The 22,150-nt window shown below is 44.8% G+C and overlaps 1 protein-coding gene across 33 annotated transcripts in view, besides 1 other annotated feature; it reads right to left on the reverse strand.

Moving 5' to 3' along the window:
- The window catches only part of TRIM66 (tripartite motif containing 66), a 71,192-nt gene that overhangs the window by 37,507 nt on the left and 11,535 nt on the right, over nucleotides 1–22,150 (reverse strand). For 19 of the 33 annotated variants that reach the window (XR_930930.2, XR_930929.2, XR_930931.2 and 16 more), the window contains 2 exons: nucleotides 2,254–2,357; nucleotides 194–341 (listed from right to left, as the gene is read on the reverse strand). Coding sequence is in view for 30 of the 33 variants with exons in the window: in XM_017018629.2 (XP_016874118.1) it covers nucleotides 194–341; nucleotides 2,254–2,357 (252 nt within the window). In the remaining 3 variants the exon portion in view is untranslated. Of the gene's footprint in view, nucleotides 1–193; nucleotides 342–2,253; nucleotides 5,033–5,562; nucleotides 6,015–8,606; nucleotides 9,341–13,582; nucleotides 13,703–14,130; nucleotides 16,811–22,150 lie in introns of those variants that run through there. The other 14 variants (XM_011520513.1, XM_011520512.1, XM_011520515.1 and 11 more) reach the window with 13 other exon arrangements.
- Nucleotides 21,296–21,903: an enhancer, noted in NCBI's record as "OCT4-NANOG-H3K27ac hESC enhancer chr11:8692389-8692996 (GRCh37/hg19 assembly coordinates)". NCBI's record gives its function as "activates a minimal SCP1, AML or CMV promoter by ChIP-STARR-seq in naive H9 embryonic stem cells {active_cell/tissue: H9 hESC(naive)}" and the evidence as "EXISTENCE:reporter gene assay evidence [ECO:0000049][PMID:30033119]".

Here is a 22,150-nt window from a genome sequence, read left to right on the forward strand (position 1 = left end):
ACCATCAACAGGGAGGGACGAGAGTGAGTCACCCCTTTGACTCTGAAGGAGACTTCCTTTGGGAAAGGCTCTGAGACTGTCCCTACCTTCTCCCCCAGCAAGAAAACAAGATCGGAGAGCTATTCTCCAGGGATCTTAGGGTTCAGCCCTGCTTTAGGGCATGGGAGTGGGCAGGGAGAGGTGGGATTGGTACCTGGAGATCCCTTCTGGGCCCGAGGAAAGAATGGGCCCCCGGGGACAGGGCTGTGTCGGTGTTCCTCTGTGCAAGAGCTGCACAGCCAGCGATTGCAGTAGGTGCAGAGGATATGTGCTGCCCTCTTCTCCTTGCACTCAGAGCAGTTCTGGAAGCAGAGAGTTCTGGAGTTACTGATGTTATCCTCATTTGTGTCTGCCTCCACAAGTGGTAAATGCTCTAAAGACAGGGGTCCTGCAGGCCTATTCCTCCACCAGTTTGGAGTGTAACCTATTCTGCAGAGCTGTCTGGGAGTAACATGCCGGGGCTTGTGGAAGGAAGCATCCTTTGTAACCAAAAGAACAGTGGCTACTTCAGGTATGGTGGCTCACACCTGTAACCCCAGTACTTTGGGAGGCCAAGGCAGGAGGAGTGCTTGAGCCCAGGAGTTTCAGACTAGCCTGGGCAACATAGTGAGACCCCATCTCTACAAAAAATACAAAAATTAGCCGGGAGTGGTGGCACATGCCTGTAGTCCCAGCTACTAGGGAGACTGAGGTGGGAAGATCGCTTGAGCTCAGGAGGTCAAGGCTGCAGTGAGCCAAGATCGTACCACTACACTCCAGCCTGGGCAACAGAGGAAGACCCTGTCTCAAAAAAGGATGAGGAAGAAGGCAAAGGAGAAGGAAGAAGAAGGAGGAGGAGGAAGAGGAGGAGAGGAGGAGGGGAAGGAGCAGAAGGAAAAGGAGGAAGGGAAGGAGGAAGGGAAGGAGGGAGGGAGGGAGGGAGGAGGAGGAGGAGCAGCAGCAGCAGCTGTCTCAGGGGCTGTTCACACAAGTCCTGTGCTGAAGCTAAGGACACCCAGATGCGTAAGCCAAGGATCTGATCTCATGCTATCCACAGCACACAGGATGGTACACATTAACTGAGTAATGCTGTAATTAAAAGGATGCAACACATGCTAAGGAAGCAAAGGAAGCCTTCCTGGAACTCAGTCTAGGAGTGGCTAGGAAAGGTTTTACAAAAAGGAAACACTTGAGCTGGATACTGAATGACAAGTAGGTTCACCAGGCAGATAAGGGAGGAAAATGTTGTAACAGAGGGAAAGCACTGGCAAAAGCAGGAAATTCAATGTGCTTCAGAGAGGAGAAAGCCCACATATGGGAGTACACAGCAAGATGGTCAAATGCAACCAAGGAAGGGCAAGTATAGACCAGCGTTCAGAGTTGTGCTCCCACACCTGGGCTCTGCCTGATCTGAGGGTACCTAGGCCTCTCCTAGTCCAAATGTTCATTCATTTCGTAAGCAAATATCTTGCCCGGGCTATTATAAAACATCAAGAGAAGGGGAGATTTGGAAAAGTTGGCCTATCTGTGTCTGAATCACAGAGGCCACCAAACTGATGTGAATTCTGAAAGTTCTACTAATTAAACTATGAATTCCTTGAATGTAGAGTATATGGGTCGATCTCCCTAATATCCAGCACAGGGTCTGGCACATGTGAGACATTCAACACAAATCAGATACAGGAACAAGTAAGTAAATTAGTAAATTACTAATTTACTAATTTACCCTAGTGGAAAGAGGAACAGAAGGGCTGCCGGCCAATAAGTGATAAAAATTTCCTTAAGAAACTCAGGAAAAAGGTGATAGTTGTTAAATACAGGCAAGGTTAATAAACCCATTTAATCCAGGCTGGTACATGAATTTCAACTCAGGATGATTAAAAAAATAAAACAAAAGCCCAGTACTGGTATTTTTCAGCAAGAGCTGTAAGAGAGAGAAAAATAATTATATAGACAGTAAGCAACTCTTAATATATCTTAACTTACATTCACCTTCTGCTAAAGGGATTGACACAAAAAAAAGTCAATAATTTTCACTTAATAGAAAACCCCCTCATTGTTTCCCCCAACTCATGCATTTTTATTTTCTTCTAGATGGATGGATGGATGATTAGGAAAACTGATGGAGAAGTAACAAATCAGATGATAGAGTGATGGATGGATAGAAGACTTATGGACAGGGGCCTCACAGATTTCTGAAAAAGATCAGCTGCTTCTTTCCTTGTCCTGACTTACCCTGGCCATCTTGGGTTGCTCAGTAGGAACACAATGCAGAAAAAAATGTTCAGTTACATCCCTGGTAAGATATACTCGTTCACACCCAGGACAGGAGATGAGCTCTGTGCAAGAAAGAAAGATAGCAGAGTCAGGGCAACATGGCTGATTATAACTAAGGCCTGGACATAAGGCTTTCTAATACACAACACCAAGATACATGGCAATACCCATGTGTGCCAAAATGAACTACACTTGATGCCATAGCCTGCATTTAGTATGTGGGTACCCTGAACATGACCATCCCATTGGGGCCTTCCCTACAGACCATCTGGTCTCCTCACATTCTTGTCTTTACCTGGTCCTACCTTCCTCCCTGCCCCATAAACCATGCTACTACAGGCCCAACGCTGCTTTGGTTCTGACAATCAGGTGCCTTCTTGCTGCTCCCATTCCTCATTCCACATCCCTGAGAGCACAGCTCCCATCACTAGCCAAGATCCAGAGTCAGTTTAGTCTGGGCACAGTTCCAGGTCATTAAGGTTACCACATAGCAGGATGACTTGGAAGATCTCGAAGCTAAAGCCTCCAGAAGGCTTTAGTCAGAGAAAGGCAAGGCCTCCCTGCCCGCTCATCTAGGAGGTATTTTTCTCTTAGTACAGCATATACCAGTCAGTCTGCCTCTGAGGCTCAGAGGTCTTTTGGAGGGCTCTCTCCCCATAGACCAAGTTAGATGCATCATATATATGTATATTTTACCTATGAACAGCTTGACCTACAATCTCTCCCCAGAGAAATACATCAGTCTCTAACATATTCTTCAGCATAGTGGGCTTCTGGACTATAAAAGCAGCAGAAGACTCCCACCCTGGAGACCACAGTGATTCTGCCGGCCCACCGCAAGGGCAGTCAACCTACTAGGAACAAGAAAATGAGCCTCTGGAGTAGGGCAAGGTACCTGTGTCCAGGGATGAGGGTGATCTGGAAAGGGGTTGGCTATGGCAGTGAATGCAGCAGTACCGCTACAATCTCCTCTGTCTCATCTCTTCAAAATACGAAAGAATGATATGATGGCAGTTGCTCCAGACTTATAGTCAGACAAATGTAAGTCCAAAATACCAGGCCTACCAGCCAATGACCTTGGGCAAAACACTTAATCTCACTTAATTGCCCTGTACCCCAGTTTCTTCATATGTAAAATAGGGAAAATAAGAGTTGCTGTGCACATTAAATTAGATAAGACTTCAGAAATCACATGGTCCTCCATGAATGTCAACTTTGGAGTTCAAAAGATTCCTCATATCCTATTCACAGTAATGCAATAAACTCAATTACCAACTCTCTGGTGACGAAAGTTAGTTTGAGTGGTAGATTCAAAAAATGGCCACAAATTCTTCCCCTCCCTGCATCCATACCCTTGCAATCCTACCATCAAAAGGTAAGACTCTCCACGAGCTTCAGGTCAGTGATGAGTTTTTAATTTTTAAAAGAGGTAGGACCCTTTGCCCTTTGAATCTAAGCTCACCTTGTGACTTTCTTTGGCCAACAGAATGCAGCAAAAGTGACAAGTTTTCCAAGCCTAGACCTCAGTGGCCTTATATAATTCTGCTCTTGTTCTTAGAACTTTAAGAGTGCCATGTGAAAAATCTAACCTGGCATTGAGACTGCTGGAAGATGAGAGATCATGCAGAGAAAGTTCTCAGTTGTCTCAGGCATCCCACCTGAGGCCATCATAGACCAGCCAGCCCCAACTAACCCACTAGCTGAATACAGTGCAAGAGTGAACACAGTTATAATTAGCTAAGCCCAGGCCAAACCAGAAGAATTACCCAGAGAATCCCAGCCCAAACAGCCAAACTGTAGAATCATAAAATAAATAAAGTTTAGTTGTTTTAAGCACAAAGTTTAGAGGTGGCTTGTTATGCAGTAAAAGCTAACTGATACATCCCAGGAAAATAGAAATCCACAAAATCATGAAAAATAATAGTTTAATACTCCCTCACCCCACCAAAAAAAAAAAGAAAAGAAAAGAAAAGAAAAACTTTCTGAGTTTTTGCAGAGCCATGGGTGTTAATGACAGGACTGTATCTGGAATGTCCTGCATATTCTCCTGCCTGTCAAGAACAATGGCCAGAGGTGGAGAAGGATGCTCTCCACAGGTGACATCATCCAGGGGAATAAGGCTACTGTCCCTCTCTTCCACTTGGCTCACCCTGAGGTGACCTCCTCATCTACAGCAGGACAGAAATGCTGCTCTAATTGTTGAAAACGACTTCCACAAGACATCCCGGGTACCAGATGCCCAAACATCAGTCATTGTAACATGGCCTCACGAGCAGAATGAAAAAAGAGAAAGAACTGAATAGGTCAAACAAGGCCTCATCACACATCCTCTGCTCCCTTGGCCTTAAAGCCAAAGTCCTCAGCTTGGCATTCAATGCCCCTTGTAAATTGACCTTATCTCTCTCTAATCTCATCTTTAGCTTTGCCTAACATACAACCTGTGTTTTTGCCATGCCCAACATCTCTGCTATCTCTTGAATACACCAGACTTTTGCATGACTCTGTGTCTGTGAAAAATGCTGTTTCCTCTTCCTGAAATACTCTTTCTTGCCCCTCTCCTTTTCAGATAAACTCCTATTCATCCTTTCATACCTGTTCAAATGTTCCACCTTTGAGCAGCAAGATCAATTTCCCCCGGGATGAGTTAATTAGTCCCTCTTCTGGGTTCCCGCAGCACCCTGAACATCCTTCCAGTACAACGAATATCACATTGCATTTTAAATACCTGTTCATATGTCTGCACACAAAAATAAACCACAGTTGGTATTAAAGGATATTACCTGGTTTTTAGCAGATTGAACAATTATAGAGTAAGTCCTCACTTAACATCAGTGGTAGGTTCTTGGAAACGGCAACTTTAAGTATGATGACATATAATGAAACCAGTTTTCTTCATCAATGTTATAACAAAAGGATGTTTACTTAAGGAACTGCTGTACATTGTTTTGCTTAAAATCACAGTTTTTAAGAATCTAGTTGATGATGGTAAATGAGGACTGCATTTCTGTTTTGTTTTTGTTTGTTTTTGTTTTTTTTTGACGTGGAGTCTTGCTCTGTCACCCAGGGTGGACTGCAGCGGCACAATCTCGGCTCACTGCAACCTCCGCCTCCTGGGTTCAAGCAATTATCCCGCCTCAGCCTCCTGAGTAGCTGGGATTACAGGCACCTGCCACTACGCCTGGCTATTTTTGTATTTTTAGTAGAGACAGGGTTTCACCATGTTGGCCAGGCTGATCTCGAACTCCTGACCTCAAGTGATCCACCCACCTCAGCCTCCTAAAGTGCTGGGATTACAGGCATGAGCCACTGTGCCTGGCAGAGGACTGCATTTTTCGGGAGTTTGTGTGTTCCATGTGTACTCCTTGCACTCACAGCACTGAAAGTAGTAAGAAGCCACCTGGAAGTTTTCTGGAAAAAAAGCCAGTGCAGGTTTATAAGGAAAGCAGAGGTGTGGGGCTTGGGAAAAGCTTTTAATTAAAAAATATGAGTTCTAGGCCCAGGGCTGGCAGTATCTAACTATGTAACCTTGGGTAAGTCACCCCCTTTCACTCAACCTTACTTTCTACACCATTAAAATGAGGGAATAGGAATGCAGGGGAGTACAAATTATCCAACCCATTTACTCTGCCTACAGCAGCCAGACGTTTTTTTTTCCTGGAGGCCAGGCACGGTGGCTCATGCCTGTAATCCCAACATTTTGGAATGCCAAGGCAGGAGGATCACCTGAGGTCAGGAGTTCGAGACCAGCTTGGTCAACATAGAAAAACCCAGTATCTACTAAAAATACAAAAATTAGTCAGGCGTGGTGGTGGGCACCCTGTAATCCCAGCCTCGGGAGGCCAAGGCAGGAGAATTGCTTGAAGCTAGGAGGCGGAACTTGCAGTGAGCTGAGATTATGCCACTGCACTCCAGCCTGGCCAACAGAGTGAGACTCTGTCTCCAAAAAAAATTAAAATAAAAATAAAAAATTAAAAAAAAAATATTCTCTTGGGCAAGATAGGAAGGAACAGACAGCCAAATGGCACCCTGGCTATCAGCCTTGTCAGAAAGTCAGGGAACAAGCTCGTAGTTGAAAGGAATCCTGGATTTAAGAGATTAGCCCTCTAAGAGGGGCTGTGCAGCAAAGAGCAGAGGTGGAGAACCATCACAGTGGTGCAGGCACTGTCCCAGGGAGGCTGCGGGCCCCAGAGTGGATCCAAAGGACATGCACTCCCTTTGTGTCACAACACCTTTGTCCAGAAATTCTTCTCTTCCCTCACAAAGTCCCTAACCCCATCAAGCTGTGTCAACCTTGACTTTTTATTATTTTTAAAGAGATTCTCCATCTTTTAATGAGGATATCAAAACAAAGTTTTACTTTAGACAAGGCATATATCAACTCTTAGAGCTATGTATAATCAAACATCTACTTAACAATATTTAATATTAGTTTAGTTATAAATACATATTTAAATCACACTGCACATAAAATATTATTTAGATATCATGCTTTTTTCTATTTTATTCAGTTAATTATTATTCAAATGACAGCCCTACTCTTGTGTTTCACATATAAGAACACTGATTCTGAGAAATATAGAGACAGGGCCCCAAGTCCACATGATTATCCTCAGGAGATGTGGGGCTTCTGCCTCCAGAATGAGGAAGTCACAGACACCAGAGGTGTTCCTGAGAACTTAGGAGCCTAGCAGAGCAGCTCTGAAAACGGAGGACATTTAGTCCATCTGTCACAAGTGCAAACACTTCTGGTCCTTGAGAGGTGTGGGATAAATTTTCATGTGTACACCACCACTCTCTGAACCAGGCACTTTACATGTGTAAAAAATTCCCCAGGCGAATACAATGTACAACCAAGTTTGAGACCCAGCACCTTAGAGAGAGCATCCCCTTCCCCTGTGGCTGAGCCTGATAGCTGTCTCCTGTATCATGCAGCTGAGAAAGGCAGGCTCACCCCGCTTTAAAAAGAGACTCTAAGAAGTTAGGAAAGACTCTGAATTCAGCTGTGATGTAGCTCCCCTCTGGCAGAGAAAAGGGCAGATTCCCAACAGACAGGTAGTGACCTGATATCCCTGTACCCGGGGATTGGCACTGAGCTGGGAGCCAGACTCCCACAGCTCAACTGCAGGACCCATGAGCAGGCCTAGAGTGCAGCCTGAGGTTTGGCACTACCAAGACCGCTGCTGGGACCTAGAACATGTGCTGAGCCTAAGACTTAGTGAGGCAGCAAGGAAGTGGGGCCCACACATGTCTGTTTCAGACATGAACAGCAGGGCCAAGGCAACACGGACACCAGAGAGGTAGGGGAGGAGAGAAATCCCAAAGAGGTCTCAGAAAGCTGGTATCGGGTCAGCTTAGGCCACCAAGTGAGGACACACTCGTTGCATAAGCCTGAGGCCAATGCTAAGCAATCCTCTGAGGGTTAGGAAGACTTCATTCCACAGCTCTTGTCCAGGGCTCCAGGCAACTTGAAGCTGGGGTCCGAGCTCTGATCCCAACAGAGCAATAGCATCCACTGGAGGAGCCTGATGCTCCTCCGCTAGTTCCAACCCGTAGACCCAAAGCTGGACAGAGCTTCACTGTTCATCCAGCCAATTCCCCACCACACAGATGATGACATGGAGGCCCTGGGACAGGGAGGAGCTTAGCTAAAATCACATGGCCCTTGTATAACATAGGTGATACCGTGAACTACTAAGCAGTCCCTGATTACCTCTGTAGCCACAGGTAAGATGCTCTACCTCCCTATGCCTCTGTCAGACACTAAGCAACGAGAAAAAACACTCTAGTTGTATCCTCTGGCAGGCTGGACATCCTCACCAACAGTCCTGCCCTCCCACCCCCGGGCAGCCCCAGTCTACTGAGCACCAGGAGCACCAGCTAAGGCCCCCACCACACAGCCCCTGAAGGCTTCCTCCAACCCACCACTCAGAGCAGCACCACCTTCAAGAAACATGTTGCACCCAATCCCCAAATACCCAGACCCTGCTAGAAAGACAAATTTTTGTCCAAGTCACCCCTAAAGTGACTGCTGCTTCTGCCCCAGCTGCCAGCAGGCTTATCTGTGGCCCTGCTGCCGTGATTAGGGCAACACTGGGAGAGAAGTCAGAGAAGCGACAGGTGAGACCACCACAGGTCCCAGAGGATGGCGCTTACCAAGCGCCCAGGAACACCCACCCTGCATGCTGCAGCCAGGCGGGCTGCAAGGCCTAAGCCTCGGGGAATGGATACTGGATAGGGTAAGGGGAGCAGCCTGGATCCTCTCCTCCTTTCTCTGATGCATCCTCAGCCAGGGCTGCATTTCTCTAGCTCACCTGAGATACTCCTGCAAGAAAGAGCTTGGTTGACTCCTCCTGTTTCTGTTTATCTCGAAGGCTCTGCAGCAATTTTCCCAAACTGAACAGCAAGAGGGAGACCTCAAAGAGGCGACTCTCTTCCTAGCTGCATCTCCTTCCTAATCCTCTGGGTGCCTTGGAATAGAAGCTCAGAAGGAAGAAAACGACATTTTCAACTTTCAGGAACTAGCTCTGTCGCCCTCTGCACAGCTCGGGAGACAGCACTCTCAGCCTTTTAGGACTCCATCCAAAAATCCTTCAGCCCTCCATGTTCCCCAAAATGACAGTGCTCATGTGTGGCTGGAACCTGCCCCGATCCGGCAGCTCATTTAAATAGAGCTCATCACAACAACAGTGTTGGTGGTGAAGTGAGTAGCTGCAGGACCCTGGGGACCCCCTGTTTATACGTAGGAAGAATGATGCAATCTGGGTATCAAAATAGCAATCCAGAATGGAATAACAGGCTCACGCAGCAGCGGTGCCTGCACAGCCAGAGCTCAAGTTGACACACTCTGTCAGCCCCACACTGCTGCAGCACGCAGATGCCAGGCACACACTCTCACCGCATCATTTTAAAAAACAGCAGGAGCCCAAGATATCCCTCCATGCCCCCGGCACTGAAGGAGGGTGTGGGGGGGCCTTCAACAGACATTGAAATCTGTCTCCTACATACTCACCTGCTCCTGCCACTTCACCTGAAGTCCTTATCCTGTGACGTCACAGTCAGTTGCCATAGTGACCAATTGTCCGTCACAAGCAGAGGATTAGGACTTCGGATGGAGAAGACACACATTTACGATGCACAAAGGTCCTGGGAGGTCTCCCTTGGCAGTTAACTCTACCCACCAGGAAGATCCAGTCACACACAAGCAGGGAGGGAAAAAGGGAAGAATGAACAGGGTTGACTGGAGGAGACATTAGGATGGGGCAAGACTACAAGTACAGCATAATTTCAAAAGCACAGAGCAACCAGATGAGGGGGAGTGGCAGGGATGTGCTTGGAAAGACCGGAAGGAGAGTAAGCTCCTGAAGGGACCTGAATGCTAAGCTCAGGAGCTTGACCTTCATCCTAAAATAAAAGGCAGCCCAAAAAGTTTCTGGAGAGTGACTGAGCTGGGCTTTATGATTATCTTGATGGACTGAACACAGGGAGGTCAGGGTAGTTGAGCATTAATGGGACCCTAAATAAGGGTAAAAATGGAAAAAAGCAAAAGAAGACTCATTTCAAAGAGAACTGACAGGACACAAGCAAATTAGGATGTTGGGGCTAGTGGTGGTGTGTGAAGAACAAGGAATCAAGTGGAGGGGCTGTCATGAACAGAGGTAGGTAACAGGAGGAAGAGAGCAGTGGCCAAATCTCATGTTATCTATACCTTCCTTTCTCTGGCATCCTTGCCCTCTTAATATCAGGCCTCATTCTGCCTTGCCTGGACCAGTGATGCCCCAATCTGGAGAGCTTGTTAGAAATCCTGAATCTACCAAACCCAAATCTCTTGTGTGTGGGTGTGGGACTGGGAATCTGTATTTTTAGCAAGCATCACAAACAATTCTTAGGCATTCAGACCAGCACTGGTTCAAGGCCCAGCAATCAGGAACCAATGGCCTGGACAGCTGCGGTTGTCCAGCAGGTCTTCCTGTATCCAGTCCTGTCTCCTCCAATCATTCTTCTCACTGGGCCAACTGAATTTGTTTTTTTCTTGTTTGTTTGTCTTTGTTTGTTTTGAGACAGTGTTTCATTCTGTCACCCAGGCTGGAGTGTGGTGGCATGATCATGGCTCACTGCAGCCTCAACCTCCTGGGCTCAAGTGATCCTCCTGCCTCGGCCTCCCAAGCAGCTGGGACTACAGGCGTGCAACCAGCTAATTTATTTTTTATTTTCTATTTTTTGTAGAGACAGGGCCTTACTATGTTGCCCAGGCTGGTGTTGAACTCCTGACCTCAGGATATGTGACCATATTCCACTGATCAAAAACCTTCAATGGCTCCCCACTGTCCACAGAATAGCTTAATCAAGATCCTTCACAATTTGGCCCTAAATTTCCTTTCTGAACAGAATCCCCACTTCTCTCCTTCAAGCATCCCATACTCCAGCCAAAATTAACTCCCTCCTGTTTCTAATATTTGCCTTCCCCTCCCCTGCGTGTGCCTCATCCTAACACTATTCCCTACCTGGGAGTCCCTTGCACATTTTTCTGACTCTGCCTGGTTCCTCTACAGCTATTCCTACTTGGTGTCACCTACAGATTCAAACCACCCAATTTCCCCAGACAGAACCTAAAACAGGGGTCAGAAAACCACAGACTGCCTGTTCTTGTAAATAAAGAATACAGTAATGCCCATTCATTTCCATATTGTCTATGGCTGCCTTCTGCTTTTCTGCTACAATGGTAGAGCTAAGTAGTTGTAACAGAGACTGTATGACCCACAAAGCCTAAAATATTTACTATCTAGCCTTGTGCAGAAAGTTTATGACATCTGGCCTAAAGCAACAGCTCCTTAAATTGTGCTAGCCTCACCCTTTGGAGTTTAATTCTGATTACGGGGATTTTGCTTGTTCCAAGCCCACGTCCATCTTTGTGAACTCTAATTCTGATAACTGGGTCACATCTGAGCTGGACCTTCAAGTTTGTGTAGGATGTTTCAAGCAAGAAAAGGCATTTCAGGAGGAAAGAACATCATAAATGGAGAATTATAGATATGAAAGTGTGAGGTCTCTTTGGAAAGTCTTGTAAGGCTACAACATATAGAGAAATGACAGGAGGTGAGGCTACAGCATTAGTTTGGGACCAGATTATGAAAAGACTTGGAGGCCATGCTAAGTGTCTGTTCTAAACTGCAAGCAATTGGAAGCCTTTAGAGAGCTAGAAGTGTAGTCCCGGAGTCAGAGGGAGTGATCAGGGTCAAAGCTAGAGGATTTGGAAGCATAATCACAGTAGCAATAAGTGAAGTGACGTCAGGAAAAATATCACTGTAGGAAAGAATAGGGAATAAACTGAGGTCAGGCAGATATCCAGGGCCTGTGAGGAAGAGCCAGACAGCCGGCCTGAGCCAAGAGTCAGAATCTGGCTATGAAAGCCAGGTGACTGGCTGGGGCTGGAGATGGATGCACGATCCACAGCCTTCAGAGCCCATGCTCCTAGGAACCACCTGGCTGTGAAACAGGCTTTCTGTGCCAAGAAAGTACCCACAGTATAATGCAAAAAGTACAGGTAGGATGAGTCTGGGCTCATTTCATCTGACAGACCCTCACTGACCGAGGTAGCACCTCTGTCTCTTTTCATCCCAAATCTTAAAGTCAATCCAAAAACTGATGCACTGACACACTCCATGCAAAACCACTGATCCCTTTTCCAGCTGGGCCTGGAGACAGAGAGTCATTTGGGGAACCAAGGGCAGCATCCTATTCTGGGTCTGTAGTTTCTACTGGCCCTCAAGCCCAGGAAAGCCCTGGACTGTCAGGCAAAGGAGCTGGATTTTTTTCCTGGCTCTGCAAGTGACCGATTATGTGGTTTTCAGCAGGATCCTAGCCCTTCCTGGACTCCTGATGCTTCATCTATGCAGGAGGGATTGGAGATTAAGGGCCTTCCCTGCCTTTTGGCCTCCACAGCACTCAACCCTAACCACTCCCCCTTAAATCAGAAAGTTCCAGCAGACAAGAGGCCCCTCAAAGATCCCATCCATCAATCACAGCCATCTCGAGCTCCCTCCCTCAGCAAATCTGTTCTAGCTATAGCCTTCCAAGCAGCACTGGCAGCAGCAAGCACCTCCCCCAAAACACAGCCTGCCTCCTTTCCATTACCGGGGGAATTGCTCTCCCAGTAATGGGTCCTGTTCTGGGGTGCCAGTGCTATTCCCAGGGCCCTAGAGAGCCAATTAAGGCGAGGAAACTGTTCGTGAACTAAAAAGCCACTCCACTGACAGGGCTCCAGGCTCCAGCTTCTGCACCTGCTGCACACCCAGCTCACCAGCCTGCCCTTCACCTGGGAGACTTGAGTTACTGCCCACAACAGACCCCACAAGGCTGGACACACTGCAGCACCTGGAATGAGCAAAGAGTAGTCACCCACCTCCCAGGCTCCTACAGCTGAGATCTCACCTCTGGCCTCCCATTCCCACCCAAGACCATTAGAACCCCTGCAGCTGAGCTGCTCATTAAGATAAGTGTCATTTCCCTCTCTGATTCTAAGGTTGTAGCATCTTGCATCAGTTCCCCCTCTTTGGATATTCCTAAAGTCCCAAGGCCTGCCCACCGAGGGACCGTGATTGCTCCTCCTTTCAGCATTAGTAGTGTTCGGGGATGCTGTCACTCTTCACTAGCTTCAAGAAGCATCGGGCTATGGTAGTTATTTGGTGTTCTTAAATCTCATTAAGTCTAGCCCTGAAAGCCAGAAAGGGCTTAGAATTGCCCAGTCAATTAGTGCTAGTGTCCAGGTGAGCTCTAGGGTCTGTGACTTCCAGCTACATCCTCAACTTTGAAAATGGGAAAAATAAGATACTAAACAAGTAGATTCTGAAATCTGTATCTAAGTATCAAAGTCTTCCAGCCATGATTTGTCTTTTAATTGATTTGAAGAGAAACAATAAGTAATGTTCCTTTTCCTCACATGGGGAAGGAAATATCCAATCAATTCCCTCTTCCCTTTCCTAAAATGACAAATAAAACCACAGCAACTCTGAGAACCTTGAAGACAGAGCCAGCATATGGTAAGAGTCAGTTTCAGGGATGTTAGCTCCCTTCAGAGCTTGCTACATTTACTTAAAGTATAATTTTGGTACTCAGTGGCCAACTTTCCAGACAGAATTTGACCTGGGACCATTCTTAATTAGCCAAAAAAGCAAATAGCCCCAAGTAGATATTCTCATTGGCTGAGAAAATCCAATTCCAATAGCTAGCATTTGTGTACCCAGCCATCCCACTGCATGGCTAGGCCACTGTATTCTCACCACACTCCTACCTTTGCTCTGGTCCCCATCATTAGCTTTTGAAGATCTTGCCCAGCTGGTCTCCTCAGTACCTGAGAGGTGACGCAGACCCATCTTCCTAGTTGCTGGGGAGAATCTCAGCTAGGCTGTGGCTGTATTAATTAAAGATTTGCACTTGATCCAGCAATTCAAATACTGAGTATACAATAGTCCCCCCCTTATTCATGGGGGCTACTTTCCAAGATGCCTGAAACAGTGGATAGTACCAAACCCTATATATACTATATTTTTCCTATGCATACATACCTATGATAAAGTTTAATTTGTAAATTAGGCACAGTAGGAGATTAACAATAACTAATAATAAAATAGAACAACTATAAGAATATACTGTAATAAAAGCAACATGAATGCAGCCTCTACTGTCTCGCTCTCTCTCTCTTCCCCCTGCCCCCCCACAAAATCTCTTAATATTTTCAGGCTGTGAGTAACTAAAAACTTGAAAAGCAAAACCTTGGATGCGGGGGGAGGGGACTACTGTATTTCCAAAGAAAATGAAATCAGCATGTCAGAGACATACCTGCACTCCCATGTTCATTGCTGTATTATTCACAATAGCCAGGACAGGGAATCAACCTAAGTGTCTACTGATGAATGGATAAAGAAAATGTGATATATATACACAATACTATTCAACCATTAAAAAAAAGGAAAACCTGTCATTTGTGACAACATGGTTGTACTTACAGCACATTGTAAGTGAAATAAGCCAGGTACGGAAAGACAAATACTGTATAAGCTCACTCACGTAGAATCTAAAAAAACTGATCTCATAAAAGCGGAGAGTAAAAGAGCAGCTACCAGGGGCTAGAGTGGTTGGCAGGGGGCAAGGGTAGTTAGGGAGATGTTGGTGAAAGAATACAAAATCCAAGTTAGATAGCAGGAGTCAGTTCAAGAGATCCATTGTACAGCATGATAAGTATGGTTAATAATATATTGTATTCTTGAAAGATGCCAAGAGAGTAGATGTAAAGTGTTCTCACCACCAAAATGATAACTATGTGAGGTGTTGTATATGTTAACTGGCTAGATTTAGTCATTCTGCAACGTATCTATACTTCAAAACATCATGTTGTACACTGTAAATACATACAGTTTTACATGTCAGTTAAAAATTTTTTTAATTAAAAAATATTTATATTTGCTGGCTCAGGCTGCAGGATTTGTTCTTTCTTCAAAGATTTTCCATGGACTCTCCTCATCAGTTTGGTATTCTAAGTGAGCGTGGACTCTCCCCGTGAGCAAAGTGCCACAATGTCGATCGCAAGCTTTGAAGACAGGTGAACCTGAATTTGACCTTACCGGGCAGTAGTTGTTAACCTTAGTCTATAAATATCCCAATCCTCATATTTTTCATCTATAAAATGGGAATACTAATACCTACTTTATAAGGCTGCTGTGAAGTTTACAAAAGATAATGCCTGTACAGTGTCTGCCAACCAGTAAGTGCTTGATAAATGCATTTTGTAACTCCCACTTGAAGAACAAAAAGGGACAGATCACAAGTGAAAAAAGCCTTCTACCCAGGCTTTATTGATTAAGTCATTTATTCTATAAATATTCACTTAAGACCTCCTCTCCTGTATCATGTTCTGTGTTGGGCTGCGGGGTTACAAACATGAAAGGCACCGTCTGGTTGAATGAGAAGATGCCTACCTCATGACATCCCCTCAGTTCCAAGCCCCAGAGCAGGAGTACAGCCCTGGGGAGGCTCTGTTGAAGAATTAGAGTTGAAAACAAGCTGGACAGACCCTGAGCCCAGGCACAGCCCCTCTTCCATTCAACACAGCAACTGCTCGGCTCTGCCCAGCAAGTAGGAGAAACAGGTTTATAGAAATGAACTCAGCCCCATGTAGCGTGGCTCCATCTGGTTGGAGGCATTGAAGCTAGGAACTTGTTTATTCCTCAGCCTCTATCCGCCTCCCCTGCCATCCCTCTACCGGCTCCCACATTTTACTTTAAAAAAAAAAAAACAGATTTCTGCCCAGATTCACAGAAAGAGGATAAACGTTCCAGAAAGCCTGTGTTCCTACTCTGCTGGACAAACTGACTGCACTAAAAACTCTCTCCAAACATGGCTTCTCAAACTACAGACCAGAAATCTAAGTTCAGGTATTAGGTATTTCACTAGGCTAGCCAGAGACAGGTGACAGCTCTGCCTTTCATCAGACAGCTGATTTGGGAGCCATTCTTTTGACCCTTCAGAAAATATTCAGTGGGCAACTGATATCTGCCAGTCCTAGTACGTGGACAACTTACCTGAGTTATTGATCCTTTGCTTGAACTTTAAACAATCTTCTCTTCACTGTATTATTATCACCTGTTTATTTGGCTGTCATTCATTAGACTATGAGCTCTTTGAAGTCAAGGGCTCTGTCTTTTCATCTCTGTACCCTAAATGCCATACAGCCTGGTACACAGTAGTCAATAAATATCCATGGGGGAGAGACAGACACACAAACCAACAAATACCACACCACATAGGGTCCTAATAGTTCCAAGTAATAAAGAGGAAGTTAAGCCAGGCACGGTGGCTCATGCCTGTAATCCCAGCACTTTGGGAGGCCGAGGCGGGCAGATCAGGAGATCGAGACCATCCTGGCTAACACGGTGAAATCCTGTCTCTACTAAAAATACAAAAAATTAGCCGGGCGTGGTGGTGGGCGCCTGTAGTCCCAGCTACTCAGGAGGCTGAGGCAGGAGAATGGTGTGAACCCGGGAGGTGGAGTTTGCAGTGAGCCGAGATCTCACCACTGCACTCCAGCCTGGGTGACAGAGTGAGACTCCATCTCAAAAAATAAAAAAAGAGGAAGTTTATTCAACTTTTTACCCATAAACGTAAATGTGGAAGGTAACCATGACCCAGCCAGACTGTAAGACCTACTAAAGAATATAAGAAGCTGGGCGCAGTGGCTCACTCCTGTAATTCTGGTACTTTGGGAGGCCGAGGTGGGCAGATCACCAGAGGTCAGGAGTTTGAGACCAGCCTGGCCAATATGGCGAAACCCCATCTCTACTAAAAATACAAAAAAATTAGCTGGGCATGGTGGTGGGCACCTGTAATTCTAGCTACTCGGGAGGCTGAGAGAGGAGAATCGCTTGAACCCGGGAGGCAGAGGTTCCAGTGAGCCAAGATCGCGCCATTGCAATCCAGCCTGGGCAACAAGAGCAAAACTCCGCCTCAGAAAAAAAAAAAAAAAAAAAAAAAAAAAAGAATATAAGATGCCACATATTATACATATTATATGAGAAATTGACTCTCTGGTTCCAAATTAAGCATGTTTCCATCTAACAGGCTTTTTTCCCCTATTTCACATGTTCTCAAGTTCTAAATAACAGCACTTTTTGTTTTTTTACCTTTCTTACCTTCTTTCTATAAACGAGGCATAGTACAGAAGGCTTTATGTATATGTCCTCATTTCATCTTCACAACAGTCCTATGAGTTAGTAACTACCACCATTAACCCCATTTTACAGGCAAAAAAAACCTCTTGGGCAGAGAGATGAAGTAACTTGCCTAAATTACACAGCTAGTAATGGCAGGCAGATCAGGAATGACACTCAGATGGCCAAATATACTGACACCAAAGCTTTTGTTTTTATTCTTCATTGCAATTAGAATAACTTGGCAACAAATACTATGATTCAGGTAATTGTCATACATATAGACAGAGATGGAGTCTCACTTTGTCGCCCAGGCTGGAGTGCAGTGGCGCGATCTCAGCTCACTGCAACCTCCACTTCCTGGGTTCAAGTGGTTCTCCTGCCTGAGCCTCCCGAGTAGCTGGTGTCTGCCACCACTGGTACCTGCCAACACACCCGGCAACTTTTTTTTTGTATTTTTAGTAGAGACAGGGTTTCGCCATGTTAACCAGGCTGGTCTTCTCCTGACCTCAGGTGATCCACCTGCCTTGGCCTCTCAAAGTGCTGGGATTACAGGCATGAGCCACCAAAGCACCCAGACCATTAATATGAATTTAATGTTCTCCTTTTAGAGTCAAACACAGCCTTGACACATGCATAATTCATTCACATTAAAAACCTTAAATGAGATCAAAGACCTGAACTTAAGAGCTAAAACTATAAAACTCCTAGAAGAAAACAGAGGGGAAAATATTTATGACATTGGATTTGGCAATGATTTCTTGAATGTGACACCAAAAGCACAGACAACAACAACAAAAAACATAGATAAGTTGGACTTCATGAAAATTTAAAACTTTGTGCATCCCAGGACACTATCAACAGAATGAAAAAGCAACTCACAGAATGGGAGAAAATATTTGCAAATCATATATCTAATAAGAGATTGGTATCCAGAATGTGTAAGGAACTTCTACAGTTCAACACTAACAATGACAACCCCATTAAAAAATGGGCAAACTGAAACTCTGTACCCATCAAATAACAACTCACCATTCCCCCAGCCCCTAGAAATCACCTTTCTAGTTTCTATCTCTACGAAGCTGACTACTCTGAACATCTCATGTAACCAGAATCATACAGTACTTGCCCTGTTATGACAGGCTTACCTCATTTAGCATAATGTCCTAAAGCTTCATCCATGTTGTAGCATGTGTCAGAACTTCCTTCCTTATTAAGGCTGAATAATATTCCATTATATGTATATACCACATTTTGTTTATCCATTCATCTGTTGATTAACACTTGGGTTACTTCCACCTTTTGGCTACTGCAAATAATGCTGCTAGAAACATGGGTGTACAAATATCTCTTCAAGTCCCTACTTTAAATTCTTTTAAGCATATATCCAGAATGGAATTGCTGGATCATAGGATAATTTGATTTTCAATTTTCTGAGGAACTGCCATATTTTCCACAGCAGCCACACTGTATTATATTCCCTCCAACAGTGCACAAATATTCCAATTTCTCTACATTCTTGTCAACATTTATTATTTTCTGGGATTTTTTTGGTTTGTTTGATAGCCATCCTAATGTACTTGAGGTGGTTTCTCATCATGGTTTTGATTTGCATTTCCCTAGTGATTAGTGATGTTGAGCATTTTTTCTTGGGCTTATTGGTTATTTGTACTTCATCTTTGGAGAAATGTATATTCAAGTCTTTTGCCCATTTTAAAATCAGGTTTTTTTTTTTATTGTTGAGTTGTAGGAGTTCTTTATATATTCTAGATATTAACCCAACAATGCTGGAACTTTTTTTTTCATGGCTTAAAACATCAGAAGTTTATTACTTTCAATGATTCCATGGGTTGACTGAGTAGTTCTTCTGCTTCAGTGATGTCATCTGGGATACTGAGATGGCCCAGTCCAAAACAGCCTCACTCATGGCTGGCAACTGGTACTGGTTGTCAGGCAGAAACCTCAGTTCTACTCTCCATGTGACTGCCTGGGCTTGCTCATAGCATGGAGATTGGATTCCAAGATGGCATATTCCTTTTATTTTTATTTATTTTTTTTTTTTTGAGATGGAGTCTCGCTCTGTCGCCCAGGCTGGAGTGCAGTGGTGCCATCTCGGCTCACTGCAATCTCCGCCTCCCGGGTTCACACCATTGTCCTGCCTCAGCCTCCCGAGTAGCTGGGATTACAGGCGCACGCTGCCACGCCCAGCCAACTTTTTGTATTTTAGTAGAGACGGGGTTTCACCATGTTGCCCAGGCTGGTCTCGAACTCCTGAGCTCAGGTAATCCGCCCACCTCGGCCTCCCAAAGTGCTGGGATTACAGGCATGAGCCACCGCGCCCAGTCCCAAGATGGCATATTCCAAGCAGCAAACTTAGACATTGCAGATCTCCTGAGGTCCAGCCTTTGAAGTTACACAGTAACATTTCTGCCACATTCCAGTGGTTAAAGTAAGTCATAGAACAATACAGATTCAAAGGAAACAAATAGACTTCACCTCTTGGTGGGATGGGTGGCAGAAAAGAATTGTGGCCATCTTTAAATCCCCATAGTGATGAAGGGCACCATCATCAAAGCTGACAAAAGGTGCCACCACTGCTGCAGAGGCCCAATATCATTTGGTCCAAAGCATAGACTGCCTTATGTTGATGCATTGAGACTGCCATCTCCTATTGCTGCTAATACCAACAGTGCTATTTACCATTACTGAAGAATTACGGTAAAGTCACAGGCACCATCCTTCATACTGTCAATACTGCTGAAATCAATGGTAATACCTTGCATCCTCATTGTCCAACATGATTTTAATAAAACTCCTTTAGGGCCAGGTGCAGTGGCTCACGCCTGTAATCCCAGCACTTTGGGAGGCCGAGGCAGGCAGGTCACTTGAGGTCAGGAGTTCAAAACCAGCCTGGCCAACATGGCGAAACCCTGTCTCTACTAAAAATACAAAAATTAGCTGGGTGTGGTGGCACATGCTGTAGTCCCAGGTATTTGGGAGGTTGACGCAGGAGAATCACTTGAACCCAGGAGGCAGAGGCTGCAGTGAGCCGAGATCGCACCACTGCACTCCAGCCTGGGCGACAGAGTGAGACCCTGTCTCAAAAAAAAAAAAAAAAACTCCTTTTGGGATTTTATTCACAACCCCTAGTGGCAGCCACCTATCACTCAGGCCTCAGGTCTGTCCAAGGGCTGTGGGGCCAGGGTCAGAGATTGTTAAGCAACACTGCATTAAGCCTGAGGGACTAACAGTAATCAGCCCTCTCCTCTGCCCTTAGGCACTGGAATTGAACCAAACCTGACCATCTCATTTATTTCTTTTAAGTTTTATTTTAGGTTCAGGGGTACATATTTAGGTTTGTTATATAGGTACATTGTGTGTCATGGGGGTTTGGTGTACAGATTATTTCATCACCCAGGTAATAATCACAGTACCTGATGGGTAGTTTTTTGTTTTGTCTTGTTTTGTTTTTATTTATTTTTTTTTTTTTGAGACAGAGTCTCACTCTGTCACCCAGGCTGGCATGCAGTGGTGCGATCTTGGCTCACTGCAACTTCCACCTCCTGGGTTCAAGTGATTCTCATGCCTCAGCCTCCCGAGTAGCTGGGACTATAGGCACGCAACACCATGCCCGGCTAATTTTTGTATTTTTAGTAGAGATAGGGTTTCACCATGTTGCCCAGGCTGGTCTCGAACTCCTGACCTCAGATGATTCGCTGCCTTGGCCTCCCAAAGTGCTGGGATTATAGGCGTGAGCCACTGCACCAGGCCTGATAGGTAGTTTTTTGACCCTCACTCTCCTTCCACCCTCCACCCTCAAGCAGGTCCCAGTATCTGCTGATGCCATCTTTGTGTCCACATGTACTCAATCTTTAGTTTCCACTTATAAGTGAGAACATTAAGTATTTGGTTTTCTATAATGCTGGAACTTTCAAGATATATTTATGATTCACCATATTTATAAATTTAACTCACTGGATTTTCAAGAGTTCTTTAAGTAATCAGGAATGCCTATTTGCTAGATAATTGGAGTACTTACAAAGAAAATAAATTACATTTTATTTTATAAAAGCCAATATTAACAAAATTTGTAACTAAGTTTGCATATTAATCAAAGGCCCTTTAAATGGCATTGTTAAAATTTATGCCACTTATAAAGACAGTAAGATTTGTTAATTAAAATTAAGATTAAGGAAAAACTAAGTTTATGTTTAAAAATCATATATTAATGTAAAAAAATCAAAATAGATCGTATCTTTCCTGTACTCCAAACTCTCAGCAGACTCTGAGAGGCAAGGTAGCTTGCCCATGGGTTCAGAGGGCTTAAATATGTAGATAATCCAGACTATAGTTTTTAAAACTCTATTATCACAATGAAACACTAATTTTAAAAAATTATTGGACAGGACTCATGAAAATATGTGTGTGGACCTCAGCTTGAGAACATTTCACTAATTAAGAGTGTGGGCCGGGTGCAACGGCTCACGCCTGTAATCCCAGCACTTTGAAGTCCCCATTTTTAACCAGTGCTATAATGCCTCACAGAGAGCCTAGATTTGTGCTTCAAATCACTTGGGAAATACTGCAGAGAACAAAACAAACAGAAAAGATCAACAACGGTATTTCTAAGTGTTGCCAACTTATTTGACTTTCTCACTGCATAATTTCATTCAATGGATATTCACTGTACCTCTGTGACATGTCCTGTGCTAGAATAATAAAATGAAGTGACCCGGTTCCCGTCTCCAGTGACTGCACAGTTCCCAGTGAGACCGTTTCCTAGGAAACCTGACATTCTGGAGGAAGACACAGGCTCCTCCCTGCTGGGCAGCAGCTTAAATACTGAATAGTTCACTAGTCAGTGTGATTCTATTCAAAATCTGTTCCTGACTAACCCTAGGAGGCCAGCCATTCTCTCTCTGCCTTGGAGATTTAGTGAGTCAGAACACATCCTCTCCGTCTGGGGAGGCAGCCAAACTTTGAATCAAAACCTTTCCAGGCTTCTTAGTCTGCCACCAATTTAAGGAAATCCCAAACATGAAAAGTTCCAGCTTACAAAACAGATATATTAGGCATCAAGAGGATTCACTCTGTCTCACAGATTCCCCCAAAGATTGCTTTCAGCAATGAGTGTCCCTTGGGCATTTAAATTCTGA

The sequence above is a fragment of the Homo sapiens genome, chromosome 11, assembly GCF_000001405.40.
Source record: "Homo sapiens chromosome 11, GRCh38.p14 Primary Assembly".
Classification (NCBI taxonomy): Eukaryota; Metazoa; Chordata; class Mammalia; order Primates; family Hominidae; genus Homo; species Homo sapiens.